The 14,731-nt window shown below is 62.6% G+C and overlaps 1 protein-coding gene across 4 annotated transcripts in view, besides 1 other annotated feature; it reads right to left on the reverse strand.

Annotated features, from left to right (window-relative positions):
• Positions 1-14,731, reverse strand: part of ZC3H3 (zinc finger CCCH-type containing 3) — a 103,789-nt gene that overhangs the window by 72,936 nt on the left and 16,122 nt on the right. Inside the window, exon 4 of one of the 4 annotated variants that reach the window (XR_928313.4) lies at positions 12,724-12,903. The exons of the other annotated variants lie outside the window; for them this stretch is intronic. The gene's annotated coding sequence lies outside the window, so the exon portion shown is untranslated. The remainder of the gene's footprint in view (positions 1-12,723; positions 12,904-14,731) is intronic. 4 annotated transcript variants of the gene reach the window in all.
• Positions 5,007-5,201: a silencer, noted in NCBI's record as "fragment chr8:144597771-144597965 (GRCh37/hg19 assembly coordinates)". NCBI's record gives its function as "represses an EF-1alpha promoter that drives an FKBP-Casp9 reporter gene in an ReSE screen in phorbol 12-myristate 13-acetate-treated (for megakaryocytic differentiation) K562 erythroleukemia cells {active_cell/tissue: K562(+PMA)}" and the evidence as "EXISTENCE:reporter gene assay evidence [ECO:0000049][PMID:32094911]".

The following is a 14,731-nucleotide window of genomic DNA, read 5'->3' on the forward strand; positions in this document are numbered from 1 at the left end:
CTGTTCCCCAGGGTGTGCAGCGATGGCGTGGGCAGGTGGCAAGGCTTGGGAGGCTGCAGGACGCTGCTCTGTAGCCAAGAAGGACCCAGGCAGAAACAGGCCTCTGCCCTCCTCCCTGAGGACACAGGCCCAGGCGCCCATCCCTCCTGGCTGGCTGGGGTTTGTGTAGATAATCGTGTTATTTAGATAGGATGTTGGTTTAATTCCCCTCATTACAGACTCCCAGGGCTGTAATTTTTTTTCTCCACGTGATGCATTCCCGTGGCACACTCCGCGCACATCAAACCCCTTGCGCCTTTATTGCCGGCGATGCCCCGGCCCGCGTTATCAGCCCCACACACGCAGCCCTCTCTGCCCGCCATCAAGAGGTCACTTCTAATGACTAATCGATCTCATTAGCTTTCCTAATTAAAAACTTTACTACCGCAATGGAAGACAAACTACAAAGAAACTGCTGGCATCATATGTGAATGAGATATGAGCCCATCCATCAGCAGGGTTTGAGCTCTTGCACACGGCACCATGCCCTCAGGCCGGGGACCAGGTGGGACAGCCCTCAGGCACCTCGAGAGCCCTGCTGTGTACCAAGCACCACATGCCCAATGACGCATCATCAGGAGGGCGGCCGCTGAGGCTGGGCCCGGCCATCAGGGGTCCAGGAGTCCTGCAGAGCCTGGCCCTGCCCACCCGGCTCACTCTCCTCGGACAATTCCAACACAGATGGCTGGTCTGATCAGATGGGGGTCGCAGCCTTGCTCTGTTTTATGTGGAGCAGGAGTGAGGGAGAGTTCAGATTTTTATGGAACTTCAAAGGGAAATAACTAGGAAGAAAATAAGTTGCTAATTTCACAATTGGTTAATGAATAAGAAGATGAAACTAGAATTACTACTCTGTGCAAAGAACTGTCTGAGGCTGCCAAGCAGGAGAGAAGGCTGCTCCACCACTTCACTGTCCAGCCCACCAGGGCCAAGGTGAGTATCCTGGGGAGCTGTCCAGCTATCTGTCCAGCTCCCAGCCTGCTGATGGGAGGGTCCATCAGGGAGGGTCTCGCCCATCAACTGAGGTGGAGACCCAGAAGGCCTCTGACCGTGCCCCAGGCCAGCATCCACCAGCCCCTGGGCCTTATGCACAGTGGGCTACAGAGATGGGAGCACCAGGGCCTCCAGAAATAGCAGGCACGAGAGTGGGCCCTGGTGCAGACGGGCCCAGCGCAAAGACAGCAAAACTGTCACTGCTGGGCTGCCAGCCCGAGAAAATACCCTGGTTCTAGAAGCCCCTTCCCCAAGCCTCCGCAGGCTTCATCCCAGCTGGGGAGCGGGGAGAGCTGAGCAGGAGGCCAAGACTGGCACGGAATTTGCTGGAATCAGCCACAGCCACCCCCACAGCAGCAGACAGGACGGCGTGGGGCCCACGAAGGGATGATGTTGACTTGCCTGACAGACACCTTGCACCACACCATGTTCCCGGGAGAAGTGACAGCAGCGAGCGGCCAGGATGGGCCAGACCCACAGAACAGGCCTGGGGCAGCCCAGACCCTGCATGCAAGGAGAGCGAGCAGGGAAGGGGCTAGTCCAGGTGCAGCCCCCGGGGCCACTGCAGCGCTGCCCAGGGTGACGGATGGCTGTGGGCTGTGGGCTGAGGGCATTCCGGCCAGTCAGGCCCCCCATCCCTAATTCCTGAAGATTCCACCTTCTTTGTACACTGCCTGATCTGCTTTTTATCAACAGCTGCCCTGGCACCTCACCATCTCCACACTGCCTATGTCCTTCTCTGACTAACGGCAGCTTGCACGCCTGCAAACCTACTTTTCCTGGTGTCTGTGACCCGTTTCTGTGTCTTTCCAGTCCTCTTGCAGTTTCTGAGGCGGTGCCAACTCTGTGCCAGCCCAGGTCTCTGGCCCCGGTGCCCTGAGCACGAGGCAGGAGGGGCCGGGCAGCAGCACCGACTGGGGATGGCACCTTCCAGTACGGCCGTGAATGCCCCACAGGCAAGCAGGACACGGCCTAAAGAGAGGGCAGGAGGCCCTGTGCCATCCCCAGAAACCTGAGTTCACCCGGCCCCCGGACACAGCTCCAGTCACACTCCCCGCCCCACTCACTGGCTGGGCCTCTTCCTCCGGCACTGCCTGACCACCCCAGAGCTCAGGGGGTTGCACCTTCAGCCCCACAGCCGCAAGAGGGCGCCAGGGACGAGGCAACGTCTCCTCCCACAGAGCAGAGTTCCCACGATTAATCGCCTAATTAGAGCTGTGATTACAACTGAGAGTGCTCAGTGGCGCGGGGAGGTACACGCAGCGGGCAGGACCCCGGGAAGTGCCCCTCCAGGAGAGCCGAGCCTGCCTGGAAGGAGCAGAGCCTGGGGTTCCTGAGAGAGGAGAGAGCAGGGCATAGGCCCAGCGCCAGAGGAGTCGGGGCTGCAAGAGGCGGGGACAGCCTGGGCAGGGGGTGCCCAGGCGCTGTGGGGAAGTCGGGGCGGGGGGCGTGGGAGGAGAGCTGGGGGCACTGGGAGTCAGGGCCAGACCCGCCCTGTGCTGCTGCATGGCTGGCACCATGCTCACACCCACGGCCTCAGCTGGCTCCACAGCCTCTGGGACCATGCCGCCCTCAGGAAGCACCTGCCAAGCGCAGGCCCCACCTTCCCTGCAGGTCCAGCTCAAAGGCCCCTCACACCCCCACCCCTCCCAGCTTGGCTAGGAGACTGCTGAGGGGCAAAGGCAGGGGAGCAGGGGGAGCCCCAGGGAACGAGGCAGGCAAGTTCCAGACCAGCCGACAAGGCAGGTGAGCCCAGAGTCCCCATCTCCTCTCCTGCAGCTCGCAGGTGATCCTGCCCCCACCAAGGCTGCTGCACACCCAACACCAGGCCCCACGCTGGAGACTCTCAGGCACAAGGAGTCCCGTCAGGCAGCGTCCCTGACAGTGGCTGATGGCGCTCTTGGAGAAACAGCCATGAAAACTCCAACAGAGCATGTGGCCCATGTTCCCGAGAGCCCTGGGCTCTTGCATTTCAGACCGTGACATATGTCTGAGCGGGGCGCAGACCCCCGGGCCTGCTTGGGGTACAGCGCCTGCTACTGCAGCCAGTCAGAGGCAGCGTCCGCAGAACTGTCTCTCGTTGAAGGCAGCTCAGGCAACAGCTCTCGCTGTTCCTGGGACAGGAGGCTCTGCCCATTGTGAGCACAGATGCCCTTCCCTGCATAGCCAGGCCTAGTCCGAGGCACCTCCTGGAAGGCACCTGGGCCTGGCAGCTCCTCACAGCCTTTGCTGAGGCTGGTGGGGGTGGACAGGGTGGCCCAGCCAAGGTGAAGGGCTATGGAGCAGCTGAAATCCAGCTTGGCCCCCGACCAGTGTAGCTCGCCAGGGCTGCACAACAAGGGCCCCTCCACCAGCCCCTTTCTGAAGTCGGCCCAGTCTGAGTTGTCCCCTGGGGCCACACAGAGTCGCCACCTTGGTAGCCTGGTGCTCACCCCTGGCACTTCCACACGCTAGGTCCTGAAGGTGGCGAGGCCAAGGCTACACTGGGGGTGACATGGGCTCTGGCCTCCAAGAAGGGGTAGGCAGACCCCAGGGGCCATCAGGAGCGGCTTCCCCGAGGTCCACCATGTGCAGGGGGCAGTGAGGTCAAACAGGAGGTCTCTGGCCCTCAAGTGCCACCGTGAGGTCCACAGGAGACTGCCCTCTCTCCCAGGAGCCTCAGGCCGTGTGTCCCCACCACTCCCACCCGGGCTGCCACCGCAGGCCCCATCCTGGCTCGGGCCCTGGTCTCCCCAGTGTCTGCAGCATCCACAGTGGAGCTGGCCTGGAGCCATTGGCCCACCCAGGGCCTGCCTCCCAGCGTCCACTCGGTGTTACCACACAGCAAACATGATCCTGCCAGGACACACAAGTGCACTCAGGAGCACACGCAGAGACTGACATGCACACGGTGGGCGGTGGGCATGCACACAGGCGTGAGCACACGTGCATGGTCATTCCCGATCCTGTGGCTCTCGCCCCTAGCAGCCAGGACGGGGCCGGGTTGCTCACCCCACAAACCTGTACCCTGCTCTCGCGCCCCCTCAGGCCCTCGAGTTTCACGCAGAGCCAGGCCATGCAGTTCAAATGCAGCCCAGCCCAGGAGCTGGGCTCACCGCCTGGACGTTCACCTGCGGGCACCCATCTGCAGGACCAACAGCCTCGTTTCTACTGACACCTGGTGCAGTGAGGGGCTGCATGGCCACGCTCCAAGGCCACTCTCCGAGGCAGGACAGGAAAGCCTCCTTGGTTCTTTGTCTGTTTCTTCTCTCTGCCCTCCTCAGTCCCCTCCCTGTCAGGCCCATGTGCGGCTAGGCCCGGCCGCCGCATCTGCTGTGGTCCTGGGTGTCTGCTCCTGCAGGACAAGGCCTGTGCCCGGCCAGTGCCCCCACCATCCTGCAGACACACACCCCTCCCGTGAATGCTGGGAGCTCAGGGAGCGTGCCATGCCTTGCACCCACCGTCTGGATTCACCAGTCCTTACTGCTGGGTTCCGAGAAACATGAGGGTCAGTCCCTGGGGCCCAGGCCTGCCATGGGGCTCCCGCCTCGCTCCCCGATCCGGAAGCCCAGCCTCTGCTTTTCTCTTCCCCGACCACACATGGGCAGTTCCCAGCTGCTTTTCTCATCTAGACACCGAGCAGGGCAGGATGGAGCCAGCCTGTGGCGCATACGCACTCCCCCCGCTGCAACGCCTCGGCCCTCCATCATGCCAGCCAGGCAGGTCATCGGCAGGGCCCCTGGGGCGCAGCGAGGGGCTGCAGTGATTAGTACTGATGAGCACACAAACCGGGCCAGTCATGCGTGACATCAGCTTCCGGCAGACGGCACTGGCAGGCTGTGGGGACCCTGCAGTTGTGCGGAAAAGTGGAATCATAGTGGGCACCACGGGAGGCTCAGGCTCTCCCCACGAACGGGCCTCCCAGGCCCCTCCACTGTTTGGAGGGAAAGATTCGGGTAGGGCTCCTGCCTGATTCTGGCCAGCTCAGGCAGAACGTCCCCATCACGAGAAGGAAGGCACCTCTGCCCCTCCTGGCCACCACACAGAACCCACAATGCCAGCCACATCAGCTGAGGGCACCTCGGCCCCTCAGCCCACAGGTGGGAATGTGGCCAAGGCCTAGAGGAAGACACCAGCCCACGATGCCCACAGATGGCACAGCTGGGCCAGGCAGGGGCTGGGCCAAGGAGCCTTCGCAGGTGCCTTTGGAAGGGATGGAGACTGGACACACCGGCCGCCTCTACCTGTGCACCCGGACCACCATCTATGTGGGCAGACCCCTGGCTGTGCTGGCACAGGCTCACTGCCCACCTGGAGCCAGCCCCAGGGGTTACCCACACTCAGCACCCTAGCATCTAGCCAGCCCTGCCGCTTCCAGCCCAGGCCCTGCAGGTGCAGGGAGTGTGCTGCTGACGTGGCTGGGCCCTCCGCCCCTGCTGGCCCTCCCCTTGAGTGGCTGGGTGTGCTTCAGGCCCGTCCATTTCTCTAAATGAGCCGCAATGGCAACCGAGGCAGGGGGCGGCTGGTGAGTGCCCCGCCCCTACGCTGGCGCGGCAGGAGCTGCCAGGACCGCACTCTAACAAGCCTCAGATGTGGGATGACTGGAACCACAAAGTATGAATTTTTATGAGTCTAATAAATCACTCCACTTTTCTTGTATGTGATGGCTCCCAGGACCTCAAACGCTGCAGACAGAGGGAAGGAGCCCCTGTATGTGGTGGTGGCCAGGAGCAGGGCCACGGGGCCGCTGGGGCCCTCCTGGGCACCCTCGAACCCTCTGGCCCCACGCCCTGAGGCTGCTCCGCAGGGTGGAGAGCAGAGACCTGCTCGCTGCCCCCATTAGGCCCTCCCTGCCAGAATCCCACATTGGCAGAAAAACTTGCCTCAAAGCCTCGTCAGCGCGAAAGGAAACTTTGCAATCACACACACACACACACACACACACACACACACACACACACATACACACACACACTCACTCTCATGCACATGCTCACCCCACAACAGAGACTGCAGAGGACCCCAGCCCCGAGACAGGAGGAGCAGGTGCATCCGGCCCCTCCTGGGAGCCCTGCCAGGACTGCCTGGGAGGCTGGGCCCCAGCACCTCCCCAGGTGGGTGCAGCACGTGGCCAGCCACATGAGAGGATGGCCCCTCAGCTTTCATGTCCTGGCCTCGCGTCCCTGGGACGCAGCCCCGTGGGATCCGGGGATTCATCTTTGACAAACATTTACGGATTATCAAATCACAACGGCAGCCCGACAGGGCCATAAGTCACCCTAAGCAGCCATCCGCAGTGCAGTCTGAGGAGTTTGGGCAGCTCAGTGATGACAAATGACCGCTGTCAGCCGCCCTGTCCCCCCCGTGTGGGATCCGTGCTCTCTGTTGTTCCACACTACCTGGTGTTTAATGACAACACTGTCAGCTGGAGACGCAGCACCACCGAAGCCGCTGCCGCGGACTGTCAGAGCCCTATTAAAGGGAAGATTGAGACCCTACTCTTCTTAAAGTCACTCAAGCAACACAAGCTGCTAGTTCCCGTTAATTATTGTGCGCGAGCCATCGATCGCACGCCGACACCTGACCCGTCTGTATGAAATGGGAATAGTTTGCTCCGTGACAGTTGCTATAGATTATGGAGAGTGGGGCTTCCTCCCCTCTTCCCCACGGCTCTACCCAGCCTCAGGTGCAGGGGAAGGGAGGGGGCCTCCCTGCCCTCCACGGCTGGAGAAGACAGTGCAGCAGGCAGCTAAGGGGGTTCCCAAAAAGGGTGAACACAGGCCTTGGGCAGGGGTGCAGAGGAGCAGGAGGAAACCGGACCAAGTTGGGCCTGTACCCCAGGCCGCGCTCCAAGCAGGTGGGGTAGGCTCGGGGCATGCAGGCTGCAGCGAAGGACAGCTGGGCTTGGGCCTGGCCAGGTGTGTGTGTGGCCAAGCGTGCACCCAGCCTCGGTCCCCACTTCACAAAGAAGGGCACTGGGGCCCAGGGCACGTGCTCTGTGAACGACGTCTCCCAAGCTCTCCCCACTGGCCTGCAGCCCCAGCCAGCCTGTGTGTTCAGAACCCCAGGCCTGCGGCTCACCTGCTCCCAGTCTGGCCATAAGAGGCACCTGGGACGGGCCCTTCCCAGGGCTGGGAGCTCTGCCGGATTGAGAACGCCTCTTCACCTTGTCTCTGCTTTGACCCCCCGCTCCTGCCTGCCCCGCACCTGAGCTCCCTCCCCGAATCTCCAGGCCCACCTGTGCTCCCTGCCCCACCTGCACACACAGTTACTGGGAGCACTCAGATACTCGAGGGCGGAAGAGCAGCCCCCAGAGGACAGACCTGCTCGGGGCCAGGACAGCAGCTCCAGGCTCTGAGTGAGGCACGGCCAAGCCCCGAGGCCCTGGCCACCACGTCTCAGGGTACAGGACCTAGAGGCGGCCACTCAGCACAGCCTCAGGTCTCCTGGTCCACAGGGCCCCCAGCCCTTCTGCATGAGCGCCATGGCCCTGGTGCTGCAGGAGGGGCTGGCGCTGTGGGCCAGCAGGCAGCTCCAGGGCCAGGATGGCCTAGCGCAGAGTCAGGCTCCTGTCTGGGGGGACCCAGGTGATTCCACTGGGCAGTCCAGGCTGGAAACGGCCTCAGCCTAACCCAGGGAGCCCGAGGCCCTTCCCTCCCAGCCCACCCCTGACCTTCACATGGCTGGGCCTGGCTGGATCCCAAGGTCAGTGGAACAGATCTGGGGCCAACTGGCTGCCGGGCGGCACGGAGACCCAGCTCCGCCATGTGGCACGGCCTTCTCTCAGGAATCCTCTTCTGCTTCCTCTGAGCATAGCCCAAGAAAGACTCTTTGGAGAGAGTCCTGGCAACACCCTCCACAGAAAGCAGCGGCCCCTGAGAGAAACGACGTGTCCCGCTCAGACAGAAACCGCAGGCTGCCAGGACTCCCCGGCCACATGCCGCTCTCCTCTGGGCCACTCCTGGCCTTTCCTGTGACTGCGGGACAGTGGGCAGGCCGCAGAGGGGAGGTCGTGGATGCCAGGCACCAGGTGTGCCCTGAGGGCCTCCTCCAGGGCTGGTCTTGGCAGCCACAGCACCGGGGCCAGGCCCACCAAAGCTGGAGATGGCACGTGGGAGCCACAATCGCAGTCTCAGGGACACTGGCCCGACCGCTTGTGCTCCCTCTGGCACATACAAACGTGCAACTGGGGACCCTGAGAAGGCAGCAAAGGAATCCCTGCCCTCAGCCCACCCAACGGGAGCCACAGGGGCAAGGGACAGAGGCTCCCCTGGCCTTGACCGGGGTGGCACCAGCCCGGCAGGCAGCCCATTGCCTTTGAGGGAAGCCCATCCCCTCTCCTCTGGATCCTCCATCCCCAAGCACGGGGTGCAGCCCCAGCAGCAATGCCTGCCTCCCGGTGATGCATCCCCAGTGCACAGTGAGCGAGGGACCCTATGGGGGCTAAGGCCAGGCCAGGGTGCAGCGAGCACTACGCCGGCCTCCCCAGGAAGGTGACTCACCGGCCTCTGAAGGAGGGGAGGAGAGGGGTAGCAGCGAGTGTGCTGACGGCTGACTGGGGGCAGTGGGGCACAGGGCCAGGCAGGCAGTGGCCCAGCATTCGGGTCAGGGTAGGAGCTGGGGAGGCAGGCTGCAGACAGGCCCCCTACCAGCTCCATTCCCCCTAACTAGACTCCTGGCCAATGCCCTGGGGCTCCAGCCTTCGGGGCCAACACAGGGAAGGGTGGGTGAGAACCACCGGGGCCAGTGCCAGCCCTGGCCTTCAGGGCCCCAGACCATAGTGCAATGGGAGGGACCTGGGGTTGGGAGCTCATCTTTCGGTAAGATGAGCTCATGTGTCTTGAAAGCGCAAAGGTTAAAAATGAGTAAGCCTTGCATTCCTCGTTACCCCAGGCCTGAGCACCCCACATCACAGCCGCAGAAACGGAGGCTCAGGCTGCCCGGAGGCAAGCCCCAAGCGGCAGGCAGGATCTGACCAGTGTTCACGTGTGCTCACACTGGCACCCGTGGGAAGGACAGGCGAGCGTGCCGTGCTGTGTGCGTGCACATGCGCCACAGCGGCCCACACAGCAGCACGGGGCAAGCGGCCCGCCTCACCTTTCACAGCCGCAGGCCCCACGTTCAGGCCACCTGGGGACAACAGCCTGACCAGACCCCAGGGCAGCCAAGGCCACCACTCCATCCATGCACAGGACTCATCACGGGCCCAAAGGCTGCACTGCAGGGGACGCAGGACACCCCCGCAGTCCCAGAGGTGCCCTGCCCTGTGGGAAGCCACGGCCCAGCACCTCTGAGCCCGACGGTGCCACAGGGGAGCTGCGCCAGCCCCATGCCATCCCAACAGACGCAAACCACCCCCCAGCCTGCCTAGGGCCGCCCCCCAGGCCTGGCAGGACTGGAACAGCACTGCTCGCCCCACCCACCTCCTTCCCACACGAAGGCACAATGGAACTGGGTGGGCTTCTTCGGGGCTCAAGGAGGGGCCCTGGCAGAAGGCAGGAGCGGTGGGGGTGCCCAGAGCTCTGCAGGGCAGCCCCAGCCCTGGATGCATGGCCAGCATCATGAAAATGCTGCCTAGGGGCCACCATGAGAAAGAGGCAGGTGGGGTCTCCCCCTCAACAGAACAAAGAAGAGGCTGAGAGCTCTTCAGCAGGGGACTGATGTCTCCCGGGAGAGGGCAGGTTGGGGGCAGGCTCCCCTGCTGGACCCCGACTTGGGAGGAAGTAAGAGCACCCTTCCGGGGCCACTCCAGCCCTGCATGCGGTGAGGGGGCAGCTGGAGGCCACCAGGAAAGCCTGGGGGTGGTGGAGCCGATGGCCAGCTGCCCACCCTGCGCCCCCACACAGCCCTGGTGCTGCTTCGTCCTCCCAGGCCCACGCAGTGGGAACCGGCTGGGAAGCACCGGGGTGCAGGTCAGAGATGTACCGCAGGGTGCTGGTTTCAGCCGGGCCCACCCAGACACCCCGAGATCACCCAGCCTTGTAAGCTTCTGGCTGGAGCCAAGTTTTGCGTCCTCCAATCCTCAGGCAGAGCCCAGGCTGAGCCGTTTCCATTTGCCACAAGGTTCTAGGCCTTTCCACGTTTTGTGAGCGTCCACCTCGAGACACCCCAGATCCCAGCTGGCCAGCACTGCCCCGCTAACAGGGCTGTGGGGCTGAATCTCACAGTGTCCTTCTGCCCCATGGGACAGAACATCTGATTTCCCACTGACAGGCAGCTCACGGTGCCCACTAGGGCCCACCCCTGCCCAGGAGCTAGGCCAGGAGCTGCCCCCTCCCTGCCTCGTTGGCTGGTGCTCTGCCCAGCAGCACCCTCCATGGCTGGGTTTCTGGCCCGTATACCCAGAGAGGGGATCAGGCTTCATAGCAGCAAGTTTCCCACACACACTCACAGCCACACAGGTAGACGGCCCGCCCGGCCCACAGGGCTCTCAGCTGCAAACAGCTGGCCTGGGGCAGTGAAACAGACCCTGGGAGGGGCAGGCCCGGCCCCGCCACAGCCCCTGCCCAGCCCAGAGGGTTCTCAACAAGAAAACCACGGCCACCCCAGGGGCAGCCTGGCTCCTCCCAAGAGGCCTTGCCAACGAGACGAGGCAAGGAGGCTGGAGACACAGGGCAGAGGCGCGGGTGGGGGCACTGGCCCGAGGTCACAGGGCTACCGAGCACACCAAGATCCAGGCCGTGAAGGTGGTGATATGTGGGTGGAGCCTCGAAAGTCTGAAGGGACTGACCCCACACTCCACCCACTGGTACCCCCTCCCAGGTCTTGAGGGCTCCTCAAGTCCTGGTGCCCCATGGGCAGCCCCTGCCCCCAGCACTATGTCTGCCTCTGGGGAGCTCCCAGCAGGCCGGGAGGACTGGGTGTGGGCAGGAAGCCCAGGCTGGAGCAGCTCCGGGCCTCCTGCACATGGGGCATCTGCTACTTGTGTTTTCAAAGGGCCCAGAAACAAGCCACGCCTGCAACCCTCCAGAGGCACCCACCGGGGCAGGCAGGAGGTGGGACAGGCATGGAGGACTTCCTGGGAGGCCAGCCCTATCCAAGCAGCCTCCCCGCACCGCCTTACTTCATTCTCACCACCCCACAGCCGTGAGGCCAGGACTCAGCCCCTCCCCCACCAGTGCACCTGCCTGGGGCTCTCAGAGTCTGGGGCCCCCAGAAGGGGTCCCCAGGAAGAACGTAAATTGAGCACACATGCATCTTTCAGGGGTGCTGGAACAGGAGGGAGGGTTTTTCTGTTCTCCACCCCACCATCCCAACAATGCAGCCCCAGCCTCTGGCCACAGAGGCGGCTCCCATATTGAAAGGAGAGCCAGCATCAGTGGGCACGGCTGCCATGGGAGTCCTCCCTGCTGGGGGCTCAGGGGATACCCGCAAAGTGCCCTCTATGGAAGGGTCAGACTAGAAGGGGTGTGTCCACCCAGGTGTGTCTCTGGGGTCCCTCTGCTGCTGGTCACCCTGTAAGCGTGTGGCCCAGTGCTGAGCCCCCTGACGCCTGGTCCTCTGTCGGCCTTCCCTAGGGATCCAAGTTCACCCCGAAACAGAACTGATGACCTGTGGCCTCATCAGAGCCTGGCTCACTGCAAACGTCATGCTGCTCCTCACAGGCCTTTACATGGGCCACACACAACCCTGTGGGCCACAGCACCTCACAGCACAGAAGACTCCCTGACCTCACTACAGGCCTATTTCCTTTGCCTCATTAAAAATGTATTGGAAGCCAGGCACAGTGGCTCACGCCTGTAATCCCAGCACTTTGCGAGGCCAAGGCCGGAGGATTACCTGAGGTCAGGAGTTCGAGACGAGCTTGGCCAACATGGTGAAACCCCATCTCTACCAAAAACATAAAAATTAGCCGGATGTGATGGCGTGAGCCTGTAATCCCAGCTACTGGGGAGGCTGAGGTGGGAGAATCTCTTGAACCCAGGAGGTCGAGGTTGCAGTGAGCCAAGACTGTGCCGCTGCACACTCCAGCCTAGGGAAGAGAGCAAGACTCTCTGTCTTAAAAAAAAACACACACACACAAATATATTGGGCTGGGTGCAGTGGCTCACGCCTGGAATCCCAGCACTTTGGAAGGCCAAGTTAAGCAGATCGCCTGAGCCCAGGAATCGGAGACCAGCTTGGGCAACATGGTGAGACCCTGTCTCTACAAAAAAAAGAAATACAAAAATTAGCCAGGTGTGGTGGCGCACACCTGTAGTCCCAGATACTTGGGAGGCTAAGCTGGGAGGATCACTTGAGCCTGGGAGGCAGAGATTACAGTGAGATGGCGCCCCTGCACTCCAGCCTTGGTGACAGAGCAAGACCCTGTCTCAAAAAAATATATATATATATTGCCCTTTGATTTCAGCAAGAGTCCTGTCCTGGGTGACTTGGAGCCATCCAGCCTAGCCCTTCACATACACAGAACCTGAGCCCCCTCATCCTGATAGTCCAGGGCCCCTCAGGGTCAGGGGCTAGTGACGGGGCAATCTGCCACAAGCCCTGCCCAGAGGTGCCCCAGACTGGGCCTCTTCTCCCTGGAAGAGGTGCTTTACCTCCTCCTGCTTTCAGCAGTGCTGGCCACTACTCCCTCGTCAACCAGCACTCTGGTGGGCAGACCCTGGCTGGACCACCTGGCCCCCACACCTCCCACTGCACACAACCCTCCAGGCTTGCTCCACGTCCCCAGGGGCTATAGCAAAGACAGACGCACGATGAAACCAAGCTCACCTGCAGCGCCAGCGGCTCAGAGCCAGATGGGGGTCCCACAAGAGCAGGCAGCTTCAGAATGCTGCCGCGACGCCCCTGCAGTTCATGTTTTCCCGGTGCCCTGTCTGGAAGGTGATCTCAGGGAGGGTGGTGTTTGCAGCCATCTTGGAAGACACTCCCCGCTGCAAGCTCCATGTGGCCCTACAGACGGAAGCCACCTCAGGACAACTGCCACCATCCCTCAGGCACCAGCTTGGTGAGCTCCCAGAGGCAGTAGGAGACCACAGCTCAGAATTCCAGGACATCCGTTTGAGGACCCCTGTCCTCATCCAGCTTGGGCAGGCAGACCCTCTGCTGCATTCTAGGGAAGTGGCCACCGCCAGGCTTCACGCCACCAGGAGTGCATTCTCCGCAGGCTCCCCACCCCTGAATCACCCCGAGATAACGGAGAGGGCAATCAGCAAGAGAAGAGCTGCTGCCTCCCACCGCTGACCTGCTAGAGCCAGAGCACACTGAGACGCAGCACAACGCTCCAGGGCCAACTGAGTCAGAGCGGGGCCGCAGGATGATGGAGAGCAAGCTGGCATGGGCTGGGGGCGGGTGAAGGACGGGGCCTCACTACAGGCCCCACAGGGCCATGTCTGAGCACCCAAGGCCAGCCAAGCCCCCGGGGCAGCCTGGATGCCAGGAGTCTCCCAGACACAGCTAGCCAGCGGGGGAGGGCGCAAGCCTGGAACAGAAGTCCGTGTTCCCAGGTGGCCCCGTCTCTCCCGGGCAGCCTCCCCAGCCCCTAATGGGCAGGAGGGGCAAGTGTGCCTGGGAGAGACACCGGGCACAGTGCCCCTGCAGTGCCCACAGCCTGTTTCAGGATGGGCCCTGGAGCAACATGGCCGGCACAGAGCAGATCGTGGTGGGCTCTGAGCCCCACTCCCTCAGTCCTCCCCACAACTCCAGCAGGTGGGGACACAGTCCCAGAGTCCACAGTTACTGAAGCCAAACAGTCTATGACACCAGGCCCTAGGGGAGAGCTCCCTGGGAGTCTGGGCTAAGGTTCCCAGGGCCCTGACATGTGCCATGCTCTGCTAGGAGCCAAGCCACTGGAAGCGCAGGACAGCCTCAGTACTTCATGCCTGACTGTGCTGGTCAGACACACCCGGCCGAGGGGCCAAGAGCTCACCGCCAGCTGGTCGGCCTCAAAGAAACCCCAGCTGGGCCAAGAGGCCGCAGCCTCAGAGCCAGGCCCCCAGCCCATCACGCTAGCAGCAGGCAAGTCGCACAGAGGTGGGTCAAGGAAGCGGCCAACAGCAGCTGGCCCCTGGCCCTTGGGGAGGAGACTGGCCCCTGTGAGCTTCAGGCACACACCTGACACCTGCACTGGGCAGCACCTTCGAGGCAAAGGGGAGTGAGCTGCGCTGCGCTGCACTGGTGGCCGTGTGGCCCTGGCCTTCAGCTCCCCGGGGGAACAAGAGGAATAGGGAGGGCAGCTGATGCTTCTGCCCACAAGACCCCACAGCAGGGCACCTGCCAGCCACGCTCTGCCCCAAGCCCATGCTCTGTGTCCACGCTGTGCAGACCAACCAGTGGCAGAAGCTGGCACATGTACCAGCCCCTGGATCAAAGGCACCAGAAGGGAGCTTGGGGCCCCAGGGCTGATCTCCGAGACCAGGGCTCTGTAATACACACTCGAGCAAACCAACAGCTAACTTGACACTTGATGTCTGCAAGCTGCTAAACTTACGGTCATCGTATCTAGCCACACACCTCCCTTGAAATGCCATCTACTCTCTCCGTGAGCCCCAAGGCCCAGGCCAGGCAGAGTCGCACCTCGCCATCTCCAGCCAAGCCCAGACACAGCCATGGCACTTGCTTGGCTTCTCCTGGCCTGGGTGGCACCTCCCAGCAGCGCTCGGCCTGCCCTGAGGCTCCCCCAGGAGCTGGTGACAGTACCAGCCTCCTGCTGAGTGAAAGCTCCTGACAGCAGGGTCAGCACAGCCTCGGAGAGCCACAGGCGAGGGGACCAGAAAGGAGG

This window comes from Homo sapiens, chromosome 8 (assembly GCF_000001405.40).
Source record: "Homo sapiens chromosome 8, GRCh38.p14 Primary Assembly".
NCBI classification, from domain to species: Eukaryota; Metazoa; Chordata; class Mammalia; order Primates; family Hominidae; genus Homo; species Homo sapiens.